Raw genomic sequence first — 15,418 nt, 5'->3', positions numbered from 1 at the left:
TCATTTCAACCACAAGACTAAGGAAAAGTGTAGCAGCCCAAGAGGAAACACTCTGTAGCTTGGCATTCCAATATGTGCTTGCCAGTGAGTCATGGGAGTGCTGATGCCCGTGTCCTGCACCAAGAGAACACGAAGTCCACGGATGTGTGCTGTTAACTCTCCATCCCGTATGGGTTGGTGACTGCACTTTCCTCACCATCAAATCCTCCCTCCTCACACCTGTCCAGTGGCAGCTCTGCCCCTTGTTGATACCTCTGTTATACGAAAGGTAGATAAGGAGAGTGAAAATAATGGGAGACAGTATTCTTTGCTGGCAATTTTTTTAAAGGGGTTTAGGTGAAGCTAAAGGTTGAAACTAATAACTACCAAGTTTCTGGATCACTGGATCTCTACCTCATTTTTAAAAACTCTTATAATGGAAAATTTCAAACATATACAGAAGTATCTGTCATCCAATCCAACAATCATCAATTAATGATTTATGATGTTTTATCTATCTCCCTCCTCTACTTCCCCCTCCCTGTAGATTATTTTGAAGCAAATCCCAGACATCATTTTAAGAACTGGTTTGAGAATGCCATTTTTTTGTTTTGTTTTTTTTTTTTATCCTAAGAACTTAAACTCAGCTGCTTAAATTAGGATAATCTTCCCAAAAGTAAAGGAGAAAAACAATCCACCAAGGCACACCGTGTAGCCAGGCAGAAAAATCAATCTACTTAGCAGCTTGAATGATTGAATCATGTGGTCCTGCTCACCAGTGCCTTAACCTTGTCCCTCCACCCTTGTTTGTGTCCTCATCGGGGCACTTCCCATTGAATCAGTCCTTTAGATGCAACTTCACCGTAAATGCTAAAACAGCAGTCTTTTTCCTTGTTTAACCTCAGAGTCTAGAAAATTCAATGCAAGTGTAAAGAAGGCTGTGGGTCTCCTTTGAGATAGTGTGTGGACTGAGTGTTGTTAATGCCACTCTATCTGACAAATGAGATGAGGAGAGAGTCCCGGCCAGACCCATGAGAACAGAAGGACCAAACATTTCAGACTAATAAAATCCTGATTTTTCTATTTCCTTTCCCAGCACAAGCCTAGGTTCTACAGGGAGCAGATAACTAGCTATTATGATCATTTGGTAGATGAAAATACATGAGGCATGATATCATAATCAGATCTCAAAGTTTAATGGAATAAAAAGAAGATCTACATCCTTTGACATGGACCATCACCCAGCCAGATGCTGGATAAGATCGAGATAGGAAAATGGAACCCTAGAGTAAGAATCAGATAGCTCCTGGCAGGTGAATTGGACATGCTCAATGTTGTGTAACACCATGAACTTCAAACAATGGCTGCCAAGAACCCTCTCTTGGTTATTTGTTCTCTCTTTTCTCCATTAATAATTCAGTGTCCATGGGGGTATAAAATTGCAGGCCTATAACAAATACTTTCTCACACCTGGCTTGCTTTGTTCCAAAAGCAAGGAAGAGTTTGCCTGAATTGTTCTTTTCTCCATTACTAGACAAAAAGCAGAAGTGGGAAAATCAGAGAAAGATAGACTCATATCGTGCTGTGCAGACCAATATTTAATTTGCCCAATTTTCAGAATTTGAAATGCAGGCTATTTTTCTGTGATTTAGATAATGGCACATAGTGTTTACTAAAAGACATATTCACTTGGAATCATCCAATGTAAAATTTTCCTTTGTGATGGTTCGGATGCGTGTCCTTAAATATTTATGATTCAGTAATAGAAATTGCACAAATTTGTAAAAGCATGATGTGTTGCCTCAATTCGCACAATTTTCCCTTTTTAGTTCTTTGGAAGGAATAAAAGAATAATGCTATATTACCTTAAAAAGTAAAATATTACTTTTAGAGAACACTGAATTAGACAGAAGCAATTAAGAAAAGAAACCAGAAACAGAGCAAATGAAATTGATATCTAAGGAGGTCTCCATATATTCTCTTTACCCTTTACATGTTGTGACTTTAAAATTAAATGCAATGAGCATTCTATTTCCAAAGAATGGAAATTGCTACTAATTTCACAGAGTCCCTTCAGTTAGGACATTCATTTCTTTTTGGTGAAGTCAAGGCTGTTTTGGGGCCTCATGGTGCCATTGTACATTTTAAAAAGACTCCCTCCCTTAGTACACTGCCATCTACTGGAATATTGTCACAATAAATCTGATGTCTGTGACGTTAATCATGCCCCTCTAGATGTGGTGCTTTTGTGCAGTGCACAGCCTACACCACTATCTGCAGCTGCCCTGACACACATGCGGACTTGAGAGTCTTTTCATTGGCAATACATTCTTTGCTACTTATCTTTGAGCTTCTATTTTTCAAAGAAATTAAAACTGATCCTTGAAAACAATGGAGATACACACACACAGAGCCTGAAATTACTTTGTGCATTGTTGCCATTTGGATTTGTTTTTCCTTCCCATTTCACCAAGCCCTTTCTCAGTACTTTGTTCTATTCCTCTACTCCATTGTCCTATAGATATTTGCTCTCTACCATTTTTCCTCCCTTCGTGACATCTATACCGAAATGTTATATTGGAACGATATGCTTCCAGAATGGTTCTGTGTTGTGTTACTCTTAAGAGGCAAATTTAAATCTCCTTTTCAGGATCTGAAGAGGGCTGTGCCTTTCTTTTCATTTCCCATGGACACTCCCATCTTTATTTCTACTGGCTTGCAATAGTATTCTCTCGTTTTTATAACTCCTAATAGTCAGGAATGAAGTGTAAATTGGTAAGTCTCTGTCAGTGGACATCCAGAGACTGTGTTCCCCTCTAGCTGCCTTTGGCAGGTTATGCAAGAATGATATAACCAAAAAGTAGGTGAGGCTTAGATGCTGTTCTTATCTGGAATTTTCTCTGAAGAGTGTCTTCATGATTGTTAGTAGAAATATATCAAGTCTTTCAAGGGTTGGCCTCTGTAAAGCAGCCCTCTTGCATGATGCAGTGGGCCAGGAGACCATCCACATTTCACTAGCATCGTCTGTAACTTCCACATGACAGAGGCTTGCATCACTGCAGAGAAGACTAAGTTCATCCGTTCTGAGCTCACCTCAGCAGAAAGCTCAATGTCTTTGTTTGTGTATAAAGTCAGATTCCTGCGGGAGATCCTCCACAAGCTGACATTTCAAGTATCCGGATGTGCAGGGTTCACTTCCTTGGTCTGCGGTTGGCTCTGGCACCCCCGGTCTGGCCTCTCCACTGCAGCGGCCCTCGACAAGGCCTGGCATTGTGCTCCTTGTCCCGAGAAGTTTCCGGGCTCCACAGTGCATGAATGCTAGAGCAGCAGCAACAGAAACTTGTTCCTTGAAAACTCAGTGTTAGGTTGTACATACTGGCCCACCTGTAAGACAATCTGAAATAGGAGGCATTTATACTTTTCAAAGAAGAAAATACTAAACATGAAAAATACGTATATGTTCCTAAGATGCTGTATTTTTCTTCTACAATATTGCATACAACCTCTTCCTTCCATAGCTTTCAGACTTCTGAAACTGAAGCAGACTGATACTGAGGGTCATAATTGAGATGTAGTTGTTTCTGCCTGTGTCTTTTACAATTGTCCCTCAGAGCTTTCTCTTTAAAAGACCGAGTCTTTTCAAAAGTAAAAGATACTAAACAGTAAAATTTAATGGTTGTTTTTAACTTTTAAAAGTAACTTATTTCCAGATAATATAGGAGCACATAAAGAAAATGTATTTTTAGTCCTACTACCTAGAGACAGCCACTGCTAAGTTGGTGGTGTGTATCCTTGCTGGATTTTTTTTCATTTATAACTGAGTCCTACTACATATACAGTTTTATAATCTTCTGTTTTCACCTAACAATATATAAGATTGTCCATTTTTCCATGGACATTCTCAATGTTATTCTTTTAATGTTTGCATAGTATTCAGGTTTGCCTGTGTTATAATTTATTTAATCAGTCCCTTGTTATTGAATATCAAGGGTCCCCCCCCAAAAAATTGTTAATATAAACAATGGTGGGATAAAATGACTTTTCATGCGCGTCCCTGTGAAGAGACCACCAAGCAGGCTTTGTGTGAGCGACATGGCTGTTTATTTCACCTGGGTGCAGGTGGGCTGAGTCCGAAAAGAGTCAGCGAAGGGAGTTAAGGGTGGGGCCGTTTTATAGGTTTTGGGTAGGTAAAAGAAAATTACAGTCAAAGGGGTTTTGTTCTCTGGCGGGCAGGAGTGGGGGTCGCAAGGTGCTCAGTGGGGGTGCTTTTGAGCCAGGATGAGCCAGGAAAAGGACTTTCACAAGGTAATGTCATCAGTTAAGGCAAGGACCAGCCATTTACACTTCTTTTGTGGTGGAATGTCATCAGTTAAGGTGGGGCTGGGCATATTCACTTCTTTTGTGATTCTTCAGTTACTTCAGGCCATCTGGGCATATACGTGCAAGTCACAGGGGATGTGATGGTTTGGCTTGGGCTCAGAGGCCTGACATTCCTGCCTTCTTATATTAATAAGAAAAATAAAACAAAATAGTGTTGAAGTGTTGGGGTGGCGAAAATTTTTGGGGGGTGGTATGGAGAGAGAATGGGCGATGTTTCTCAGGGCTGCTTCAAGCGGGATTAGGGGCGGCGTGGGAACCTAGAGTGGGAGAGATTAAGCTGAAGGGAGGTCTTGTAAGGGGTGATATTGTGGGGATGTTAGAAGAAACATTTGTCGTATAGAATGATTGGTGATGGCCTGGATACGGTTTTGTATGAATTGAAAAGCTAAATGGAATAACAGAAGGAGAAAAACAGGTATAAAAGGTCTAAGAATTGGGATGACTCAGGATATCTGATTAGAGAGTGCTTAAGGAGATTCGGCATAGTCCTGCCAGCAAAGATTATTTATTTACTTCAAGAGTTTAGAGTGGCAGTTTGGGGATAGCACCAGGAGATATCAGCTGTGATGCCTTGGAAAAACAGTGTAAACCGGCAGTGTAAACAAGAGCAGGGCATGTATGAGTAGTTGAGAACGGTGAATAGGAGTATGACTAGACAGAAAATAGTAGGGATGACAAGTTTTTTTTTGGTGGGGGGCACAGTCTAAGTTGGTCTGGTGTCTGGAATGAGACTGGGGCCTAATAAAAAGGAGCGTCTATACAGGAGCTTAAATGGGCTGTACCCTGTAGCATTCTGAGGACAGGCCTGAATTCTGAGAAGGGAAAGTGGTAAAAGTATTGTCCAGTCCTTTTTAAGTTGGTGGCTGAGCTTGGTGAGGTGTGTTTTAAAAGACCTTTACTTTAGTCCATTCTACTTTTCTTGAAGACGGAGGACCATAAGGGATATAAAGGTTTCACTGAATACTAAGAGCCTGAAAAACTGCTTGGCTGATTTGACTAATAAAGGCTCGTCTGTTATCAGACTGTATTGAGGTGGGAAGGCTAAACTGAGGAATTATGTCTGACAGAAGGGAAGAAATGACTGCGGTGGCCTTCTCAGACCCTGTAGGAAAGGCCTCTACCTATCCAGTGAAAGTATCTACCTAGACTAAGAGGTATTTTAGTTATCTGACTCAGGGCATGTTGAGTAAAGCTAATTTACCAGTACTAGGTGGGGCAAATCCTCGAGCTTGATGTGTAGGGAAGGGAGGGTGCCTGAATAATCCCTGAGGAGTAGCAGAATAGCAGATGGAACACTGAGAAGTTATTTCCTTGAGGATAGATTTCCACGATGGAAAGGAAATGAGAGGTTCTAAGAGGCGGGCTAGTGGCTTGTACTATAGCATAACCTGCCTTTGCTGGTGTGTGGCGATTAGGCCTGGTGGAACCGCCATCAATAAATCAAGCGTGATCAGGGTGAGGAACAGGAAAGAAGGAAATTTGGGGAAATGGGGTGAATGTCAGGTGGATCAGAGAGATACAGTCATGGGGGTCAGGTGTGGTATCAGGAATAATGTGGGAGGCCGGATTGAAGTCCGAGCCAGGAACAATGGTAATTGTGGGAGACTCAACAAAGAGTGAGTACAGCTGAAGGAGCCGGGGAGCAGAAAGTATATGCGTCAGGTATGAGGAAGACAATACATTTTGGAAGTTATGAGAACTGTAGAGAGTGAGTTGAGCATAGTTTGTGATTTTGAGGGCCTCTAAAAGTATTAAAGCAGCAGCAGCCACTGCACGCAGACACGAGGGCTAGGCTAAAACAGTAAGGTCAAGTTGTTTGGCCAGAAAGGCTACAGGGTGTGGTCCTGGCTCTTGTGTAAGAATTCTGACCGCGCTAACCATGCCTAGGAAGGAAAGGAGTTGTTTTGTAGAAGGTGCTTGGGTTTGAGAGATCAGTTGGACACGATTGGCAGGGAGAGCACGTGTGTTTTTATGAGAATTATGCCGAGATAGGTAACAGATGAGGAAGAAATTTGGGCTTGATTGAAGTAACGGGGGCTGTCTGTGAAGCTTTGCGGCAGTACAGCCTAGGTAATTTGCTGAGCTTGATGAGTGTCAGGGTCAGTCCAAGTGAAAGCGAAGAGAGGCTGGGATGAAGGGTGCAAAGGAATAGTAAAGAAAGCATGTTTGAGATCTAGAACAGACTAATGGGTTGTAGAGGCAGGTATTGAGGATAGGAGAGTATATGGGTTTGGCACCACGGGGTGGATAGGCAAAACAATTTGGTTGATAAGGCGCAGATCCTGAACTAACTTGTAAAGGCTTGTCTGGTTTTAGGACAGGTAAAATGGGGGTATTGTAAGGAGAGTTTATAGTCTTTAAAAGGCCATGCTGTAGCAGGTGAGTGATAACAGGCTCTAATCCTTTTAAAGCGTGCTGCGGGATGGGATACTGGCGTTGAGTGGGGTAAGGGTGATTAGGTTTTAATGAGATGGTAAGGGGTGCATGATCGGTCGCCAAGGAGGGAGTAGAGGTATCTTATACTTGTGGGTTAAGGTGGGGGGATACAAGAGGAGGACGCAAAGGAGGCTTTGGATTGGGAAGAAGGGCGGCAATGAGATATTGCTGTAGTCCAGGAATAGTCAGGGAAGCAGATAATTTAGTTAAAGTGTCTCAGCCTAATAAGGGAACTGGGCAGGTGGGGATAACTAAAAAGGAGTGCTTAAAAGAGTGTTGTCTAAGTTGGCACCAGAGTTGGGGAGTTTTAAGAGGTTTAGAAGCCTGGCTGTCAATACCCACAACAGTTATGGAGGCAAGGGAAACAGGCCCTTGAAAAGAAGGTAATGTAGAGTGGGTAGCCTCCGAATTGATTAAGAAGGGGACGGGCTTACCTTCCACTGTGAGAGTTACCCGAAGCTCAGCATCCGTGATGGTCTAGGGGGCTTCTGAGGCGATCGGGCAGTGTCAGTCTTCAGCCGCTAAGCCGAGAAGATCTGGGAAGGAGTCAGTCAGAGAGCCTTGGGCTAGAGTTCCAGGGGCTCTGGGAGTGGCTGCTAGGTGAGTTGAACAGTCCGATTTTCAGTGGGGTCCCACACAGATGGGACGTAGCTTAGGAGGAATCCCAGGCTGCGGGCATTCCTTGGCCCAGTGGCCAGATTTCCGGCACGTGTAGCAAGCTCCTGTGGGAGGAGGTTCTGGAGGAACGCCTGGCCGCTGCGGTTCAGGCGTTTGGAAGTTCTTATGTGCTGGAGATGTGGCTGGGGTTTGTCTCACAGTGGAGGCAAGGAATTGCAACTTTTTTCTATTATTGTACACCTTGAAGGCGAGGTTAATTAAATCCTGTTGTGGGGTTTCAGGGCCGGAATTTAATTTTTGGAGTTTTATTTAATGTCGGTAGCAGATTGGGTAATAAAATGTATTTTGAGAATAAGACGGCCTTTTGACCTTTTAGGGTCTAGGGCTGTAAAGTGTCTCAGGGTTGCTGCCAAACGAGTCATGAACTGGGCTGGATTTTTATATTTGATGAAAAAGAGCCTAAACGCTATCTGATTTGGGATAAAGAAAAAGGAGCATTAACCTTGACTATGCCTTTAGCTCCAGCCACCTTTTTAAGAGTAAATTGCTGGGCAGGATGGGGAGGGCTAGTCACGGAACGAAACTGTAAGCCGGACCAGGTGTGAGGAGGGGAGGTGATAAAAAGATTATATAGGGTGGAGGAGCAGAGGCTGAGGAAGAATTGGGACCTAGCTCGGCCTGGCGAAGAGCAGCCTGGGGAGGAAGGGAGAGGTCAGATGGGTCTGTAGAAAAGGAAGATTAGAAAGACTCAGCGACGCTTGGGGTTAATACTGAGGGGACAGGCGGGAGGGAAAGAAGGAAGATTTGGGACAAGTTGCACTGGGCACAGAGACTAGGAAGGGACTGATGTGTAAAAGAATGCCTGGATGTCAGGCACCTCAGACCGTTTGCCTATTTTACGACAAGAATTATTTAGATCTTGCAGGATGGAAAAATTCAAAGTGCCATTTTCTGGCTATTTGGAACTACTGTCGAGTTTGTATTGGGGTCAAGCGGCATTGCAGAAGAAAATAAGGCATTTAGGTTTTAGGTCAGGTGTAAGTTGAAGAGGTTTTAAGTTTTTGAGAACACAGGCCAAGGGAGTAGAAGGAGGAATGGAGGGTGGAAGGTTGCCCATAGTGAAGGAAGCAAGCCTAGAGAAAAGAGAGAGTAGAGAAATGGAGGGAAGGGGTTCGGGGGTTCTTACCTTCCAGAAAAGTGGGAAAAGGGGTTGGGGCACAGAGATAAGAGGTTGGGGCGCAGAGATAAGAGGTCAGGGCATGGAAATAAGGGATGGGGCGCAGAAATAAGAGGTCGGGGCATGGAAATAAGGGATTGGGGCACAGAGATAAAAGAGGTTGGGGTGCAGAAATAAGGGATTGGGGTGCAGAGATATAAGAGGTTGGGGCACGGAAATAAGGGATTGGGGCACAGAGATACGAGGTTGGGGTGCGTAAATAAGGGATTGGGGCACAGAGATAAGAGGTTGGGGTGCAGAAATAAGGGATTGGGGGTTCTTGCCCCGTAGAAAAGCGGGACTTGCCGCTAAGGGTGAAGGAGAAGGGGTTGAGTGGTACTTGCCCCTCTTCCAGAAAAGCAGAGAAGGGGTAGAGACACGGAGAGAAGGGGTTGGGGTACTTGCCCCTGCCCCAGGAAAGCGGGACTTGCCACTAAGGGTGAAGGACTAAGGCAGGCGTCCCTGCGTGGTCTGACACCTTTGAAACGTGGGTGAATAATCAGAGAGGCAGCCCTGCAATGATTAAACACCAAGGGAAGGCTGCCTTCCCAGTCCGTGACTGGCGCCAGAGTTTTGGGTCCACGGATAAAACGTGTCTCCTTTGTCTCTACCAGAAAATGAAAGGAATTGAAATTAAGAGAAGGGAGAGATTGAATTGTGGCGCCAAGATTGAAAGGAGAAAGAGGTTGAGGGATAGTGAGGGAGGTTGGAGAAGAGAGTAAAAAGAGGCCGCTTACCGGATTTGAAATTGGTGAGATGTTTCTTGGGCTGGTCGGTCTGAGGACCTGAGGTCGTAGGTGGATCTTTCTCACGGAGCAAAGAACAGGAGGACAGGGGATTGATCTCCCAAGGGAGGTCCCCCGATCCGAGTCACGGCACCAAATTTCATGCACGTCCGTGTGAAGAGACCACCAAACAGGCCTTGTGTGAGCAACATGGTTGTTTATTTCACCTGGGTGCAGGTGGGCTGAGTCCGAAAAGAGAGTCAGCAAAGGGAGATAAGGGTGGGGCCGTTTTATAGGATTTGGGTAGGTAAAGGAAAATTACAGTCAAAGGGGGTTTGTTCTCTGGCAGGCAGGAGTGGGGGTCGCACACAAGGTAATGTCATCAGTTAAGGCAAGGACCGGCCATTTACACTTCTTTTGTGGTGGAATGTCATCAGTTAAGGTGGGGCAGGGCATATTCACTTCTTTTGTGATTCTTCAGTTACTTCAGGCCATCTAGGCATATACGTGCAAGTCACAGGGGATGCGATGGCTTGGCTTGGGCTCAGAGGCCTGACATGACTCAAAACAGTATTCACATTTTTCAGGCTATTGGTACCAATTGTCAAAATGACTTTTAAGAAGATTGAATCTGCAGTTCTAACAGTTTTCATGAGAGACAGAGACAGAGGGAGACAGAGAATATTTCAAAGGCCCGATCAACTCTGTGCTTATCATTAAAATTTTTTTAATGATTGGAGGGTGAAAAATTATATCTTCCATTTAAAGTCTTTGATTTATTGATTCCTAGTGCTCTTAAGCATTTTGTTCATGGGGAGACATTTGTATTTGCTCTGTGTGTGTGTGTGTGTGTGTGTGTGTGTGTGTGGTTTTGTTTTGTTTTTTGTTTGTTTGTTTGTTTTTTTGAGACGAGGTCTTGCCCTGTCGCCCAGGCTGGAGTGCAGTGGCACAATCTCCACTCACTGCAGCCTCTACCTCCTGGGCTCAAGTGATCCTCCCACCTCAGCCTCTCATGTAGCTGGGACTACAGGCATGCACCACCACACTTGGCTAATTTTTGTATTTTTTTGTAGAGACAGGGTTTCTGCCATGTTGCCCAAGCTGTTCTTGAATTCCTGGGCTCAAGTGATCCTCCTGCCTTGGTCTCCCAAAGTGCTGGGATTACAGGAGTGAGCCATCATGCACAGTCTTGTATTTTCTTTTACTGCCATTTCTTATTCTGTTTGGTGGCTTGTCTGGGTTGGATTTTTTGTTTGGTCGTTGCTATTGATTTTTTATTATTATGAAATTTTTTAACCAAAATAGAAAAAATAATGAATCACTATATTCCCATCACCCATATTGAACAAGTATCAACATTTTGCCACACTTGGTTTACCCGTCCTTTTTCCTCCTGCATTTTAAGTCACATCCCAGATATCAAACATTCATTCCCAGATTCTTTGGTATATATCTCTAAAAAGTAAGGAGATTTTCCATGATGCTAGTTCACATCTTACAAAATTAACAACACCTTTAGTTTTTAATTGCTACAGTTTCTGTTTCATTGGCCACAGCCAAGTTATGCAGCCGCATCAACGGAATTGGAGGAGAGGAAACCCATCTTAGCTTCCTTGTCACCTCCAAAAATTAAAGAAGAAAATCTGCTGCCTATATGCTAGTAGAGTGATTGAGAACCCTTGAGTCCCCTCTGCCCACAGGCCCATTTAGAAACACACTGAATCTGCAATGCCAGCCTCGATTTTTAGATAAATGCCCCAGCTGAAGCTTGCCAATGTATAGGAATAATCCAAGTTTTATTCACAACTGCCCCTCTTTCTTTGAAAATGTGTGAGCCCAACATGATCAATGACCGAGTTTTCAGGCCTAACCCACTGGGGTCACAGGAGGTCCCTGTTATGTCCCTTGTATGGTCAAATACAGAATTTTCTCTTTCAGATGGTCAGGGTTGCCTTCAGGGCTGAGACTCACAGTCATTTTTAATCTTGGGCACTCTTGTCCACCCCCACATTCCCTAACCTGCCATCCGGGGTCCTTTTCGTCACAATAAATAAAATCTTTAGGAACAGGGTTCCTCATTTCTGTGGTATTGAAAAGGGAAGGGCAATGTTCATGCGTACCATTAAAAGTGTTTTCTTTCATTATAGATTACCTTTTCAATTGACTGCAAGGATGTTAGTAAGACAACTGGCCCTGATTGTTATACGTAACATGTTAATATCTGGGCACATTTCAGAAGCAACAGCTCTACAACTGCTCATTCAAAATGAAAATGAGGAAGTTAGGAAGACCACACATGGTCCTAGGCCACATAGAGTGATTGCTACTGCAGAACAAAAGGACTGTGTCAGGGTTTTCTTCTATATTTCACATGATACTGATGCAACTGTATAGAGTGTTTGCATTTTATTTTTTAAAGTGTTCGAAATTTTTTTACAAAAATATGTAGAACTAAGCACTTAATATATTTCAAATACAATTACTTATAAATATGTTATACAACATGTACATATATAAATATATGAAAAGAAATATAAGCGTCTATTAAGTTATTAGCAAATAAATTAATAAAAGGAAGTAATAGTTGAGAAAAAGAAAATCACTAAAAGTGAAGAAAACGGCATTAATCATGAAAATTAAGTTGAAAATGAAATATTCTTATTTGATCTTTTCAAAAAGTGAAATATGTAAAAATAAAGTGTTTTTGTTTTTCAGTTGTGACCTTATTTTCATGTAAGCTATTCCAGCTTCTCGAAGAATGTCTTCTCACCTTAAAGTACTTGAGGAAATGTTGAGGAGGTAGTTATAACTAATACAAAGATTTCCTTTATTCCTTATCTTTGAATAAACCCACCTTTCTTATTTGATATGTTTAAGAAGCATTAAAAAAAAAACACTTTTTTTGTCTTTTGGCAAGGCCTGTAATCTGTTATTATTAGCAAGCTCTAGTTTTTGTTCAAAGAAAACATTTCCGGTTTGTTCTCATTTCCTTTAGTTTCATTATATGAAACACAGACATGGAGATCCCATATGCAAGTTACCTGTATTCATTTTAATTCTCTAACATGCATATTCCACATATTCAAAAGATGTTTGAACTAAAGTCAGATTAATTATTGAGATAACTTTCATCTGTTGCCTGCCTTTTCTCGTGGCTTTTGGAAACATGGAAAACTATTTTCTCAACTAACTGCTTCCTGTACACTTCAAAATGTTAATGCCGTGTGTAACTCCTGGAGGGTTTCTCAAGGTCTAAGTGATTCAAAGGTCAGAGTTTTTAAAATACTGACACATCTGTGGCATTTCAGTTCTTAAAAAATAACATGATGTATCAACATGGAAAACCAGTATTGCAGTGGCTTAACAACTGGGTCTGAGTAGAGAAGAGGAAGACACTGTTACCAGGAGGGATAGAAAACCACCTGGTGAGGGGCCCAGGGGCTGAGGTCTGCTGGGGAGCAGGTAGTGGTTAGAGAAAGAACACGTTGGCTCCCACAGAACTGTTGTACCCCACGCTGGGACTTCCAGCTCTCTTTTTGCAACATATAGTTTCTCAGACATATATCTAAGTCAGATAGCTTGTTTTTAAAATTTCCTTAAAGTAACACAAAAGAAAATTAAAAATTACCCCAGATTCTTTCAGACATGTTTTATCCAGCTCTCGAAATCTGTAAACCCTGTTAGGTCACATAATATATGGCTGAATATATGATAATCGAGTACTTTTACTTGATTAATTCACCGAAGAATTTTTTTTTTAAGATTCACTATTTTAAAAAAATCTACTAAGGTAATTTGTCTCTGTGCAGATAGAAGTCAGACTGTCACTTTAGGATGATTTGCCAGAAACTCTTACATTTAATAGAATTTCATGCCACCCTGATCTATCTAGTCCCTTCTGAGTTCCAAGTAAAAACTCATTACAGTGCAGTCTTTCTTTATTTAATCTTTTTCTTTTCTATTTGTCATTCCCAAGTTTAGTCTTGAAAGTTACTGTCTCTTAGAAAAAAAATCTGTTTCTTCTCTATTGCTCCTTTAAAACTGTTGTGTCATTACCAAAGAAGGTCTTTTCCAAACTTTCTCTCACAGTCTGTACTCACCTTCTTTTCTGTTTTCTTTTGGTTTTGTTATTGCTGTCAAAATGAGAATCCCTGTAACGTTTGGTTTCAGTGGTGGCACTTGGGGAGGGTTGATTTTAAGTAGATGAGCCTTCTCTTCTGCATGAGACAAAACTCTCTGTTGGCCCTCAGGTGTTAAAGGTGGAAATACTGGTGTCACAATAGGCACTTAGCAAAATGTATCACTATTTAGAGCCATAATCCTTTATGGACTTTTATTATTTATTGTAAGTCTTTTCCTTTCTCAGCCCTGTGCTGCTGACCCCACATCCCATGCCTGGCCTGGAATTGTCCACTCACTATGACACCCCTGCCCCTTCATATCTTAGCCCTTAGATTTTCTACAGGAGAAAAATCAAAATATACTTTCCACAGCCATTTCACTTGTATCCAGAAAAGAAACTCAAGGAGATAAAAGTTTTATAAGATTGTATTTTCAAAACCCAGGGAAATTAACAGGGGGCTTGGGCTCTTTGATGTCCATACCATCAACTTCCAGATGCTGCTACTGAAGAGTTACTGAATATTTATGAATTATGTAAGTCTTCCAGCTAGCCTGTCTTTGACCCGGGCCAAAGGGAATATGTTGTGATAGATGATGATTTTGTTGAGTGAAAATAAGTGATGATTCCCTCCCCATTAGCTGTTAATTTCCACCTCCTCCTCTATCAACTTTTTACCAAAAATATTAACCAGAAATAAACCTCTTTTCTTGCTTTTTTCCACTTCCTTGGCTTACTTTCTGGATGGAGGGGCTTTTTCATAATAAAATGACTGAAGTCTAGGCAGCTGAGGATTCAGAAGCAAGGGCTATATGGTGTTCACAAACTGGCTCCTTTTCTGGAACAGTTGGTAACTGGCTGAAGTAACCAGTTGGAGGACAGTACAAACATGCTTCGGGGCACGTCGTAAAGTCCAGTGCATTTCATGGATTGTTTTACTCCCTGGGAAGATGCAGCCCGCTTCATCCTGTGTCCGGTACCTCCTGGAACTTGCCTCTCCGCTGCCCGCTGCCAACAGTGACAGTCACTGAGCAGCATGAACGAGGTGTCAGCCTCACCACCCCTTACTGAAGTGCTTTTTCCACCGCAAAGCTGGGTGTCACCTGAGAACGGATGTGCTTCTGTACTTTACGGTCACTGGCACAGGAGAAGAAAAAGAACTTACGGAATATGATTTCAGCATTCTGAAAATGAACTTTCATGGGACAAAGTTACACATGGAGTGTCTTCTGTTTTCTTAGTTCCTTGTGCAGAGAGTTAAGGATAACCAGTGTTATTGGAGATCTAATCCCATGAAGCAAGCTCTGCTCTATAGGGCATGCTGCAAGTTTAGTTTTTTCTCCTTCCTGAAGCATGAAGCTAATCTGGGTACCAGAAGGATTAATACACAGTTGTGTATGTAGCCATAGTGCCACCATGTGCTTTACAGCTTTGGCGAAATAGAAGCTTACAAACAGCTAACGACCTCTTTACCCTTCCTTCTTCATTTACAGTTAATAGCAGAGACAGGCTTGCTCTAGGAAGCTGTAGGTACAGCAGTGGCGAATGTTTAGAGTTGCAAATTGACCAGGCCCATGAGTGGTACAAGTTTTAGGAAATTGGGGCATATCTTAACTTCTATAGGGAAATAAAGACAAAAATTATTTTTACTTGCTCTATTTCTCAATAGAAAAGTCTTTCAGCTTCCTTCAGTACCTTTATACTGAAACGACTGGTCCCTACTCCCCTCCATCACCCCCTTCTCTATCTCTTCCTTTTCTCCATTTGTTGCAAGGATTCATGGGTCTCTATTGTCCATAAATTCCTTAGGTGTTAACGGACCAACGAAAGGCAGTGTAGCTGAGCGGGAAAGAGTGCAGATGGGGAAGCCATCATGCTCAACTCATGGGCATGGGCAACTACCTAACTTCTTTGTGCCTAAGTCTCCACATCTGTAAAATAGGG

General features: G+C 42.3%; 1 protein-coding gene across 18 annotated transcripts in view, besides 5 other annotated features; it reads left to right on the top strand.

The window, feature by feature from the left end:
* Positions 1 to 15,418, top strand: part of ZNF827 (zinc finger protein 827) — a 181,197-nt gene that overhangs the window by 96,300 nt on the left and 69,479 nt on the right. The window lies entirely within an intron of this gene.
* Positions 3,654 to 4,177: an enhancer, noted in NCBI's record as "OCT4-NANOG-H3K27ac-H3K4me1 hESC enhancer chr4:146759499-146760022 (GRCh37/hg19 assembly coordinates)". NCBI's record gives its function as "activates a minimal SCP1, AML or CMV promoter by ChIP-STARR-seq in primed H9 embryonic stem cells {active_cell/tissue: H9 hESC(primed)}" and the evidence as "EXISTENCE:reporter gene assay evidence [ECO:0000049][PMID:30033119]".
* Positions 4,178 to 4,702: an enhancer, noted in NCBI's record as "OCT4-NANOG-H3K27ac hESC enhancer chr4:146758974-146759498 (GRCh37/hg19 assembly coordinates)". NCBI's record gives its function as "activates a minimal SCP1, AML or CMV promoter by ChIP-STARR-seq in naive and primed H9 embryonic stem cells {active_cell/tissue: H9 hESC(naive and primed)}" and the evidence as "EXISTENCE:reporter gene assay evidence [ECO:0000049][PMID:30033119]".
* Positions 5,751 to 6,274: an enhancer, noted in NCBI's record as "H3K27ac hESC enhancer chr4:146757402-146757925 (GRCh37/hg19 assembly coordinates)". NCBI's record gives its function as "activates a minimal SCP1, AML or CMV promoter by ChIP-STARR-seq in primed H9 embryonic stem cells {active_cell/tissue: H9 hESC(primed)}" and the evidence as "EXISTENCE:reporter gene assay evidence [ECO:0000049][PMID:30033119]".
* Positions 6,275 to 6,799: an enhancer, noted in NCBI's record as "H3K27ac hESC enhancer chr4:146756877-146757401 (GRCh37/hg19 assembly coordinates)". NCBI's record gives its function as "activates a minimal SCP1, AML or CMV promoter by ChIP-STARR-seq in primed H9 embryonic stem cells {active_cell/tissue: H9 hESC(primed)}" and the evidence as "EXISTENCE:reporter gene assay evidence [ECO:0000049][PMID:30033119]".
* Positions 9,372 to 10,143: an enhancer, noted in NCBI's record as "OCT4-NANOG-H3K27ac hESC enhancer chr4:146753533-146754304 (GRCh37/hg19 assembly coordinates)". NCBI's record gives its function as "activates a minimal SCP1, AML or CMV promoter by ChIP-STARR-seq in primed H9 embryonic stem cells {active_cell/tissue: H9 hESC(primed)}" and the evidence as "EXISTENCE:reporter gene assay evidence [ECO:0000049][PMID:30033119]".

Source organism: Homo sapiens, chromosome 4 (genome assembly GCF_000001405.40).
Source record: "Homo sapiens chromosome 4, GRCh38.p14 Primary Assembly".
Lineage (NCBI taxonomy): Eukaryota > Metazoa > Chordata > Mammalia > Primates > Hominidae > Homo > Homo sapiens.
This window is presented reverse-complemented; position numbering and strand designations above follow the sequence as displayed.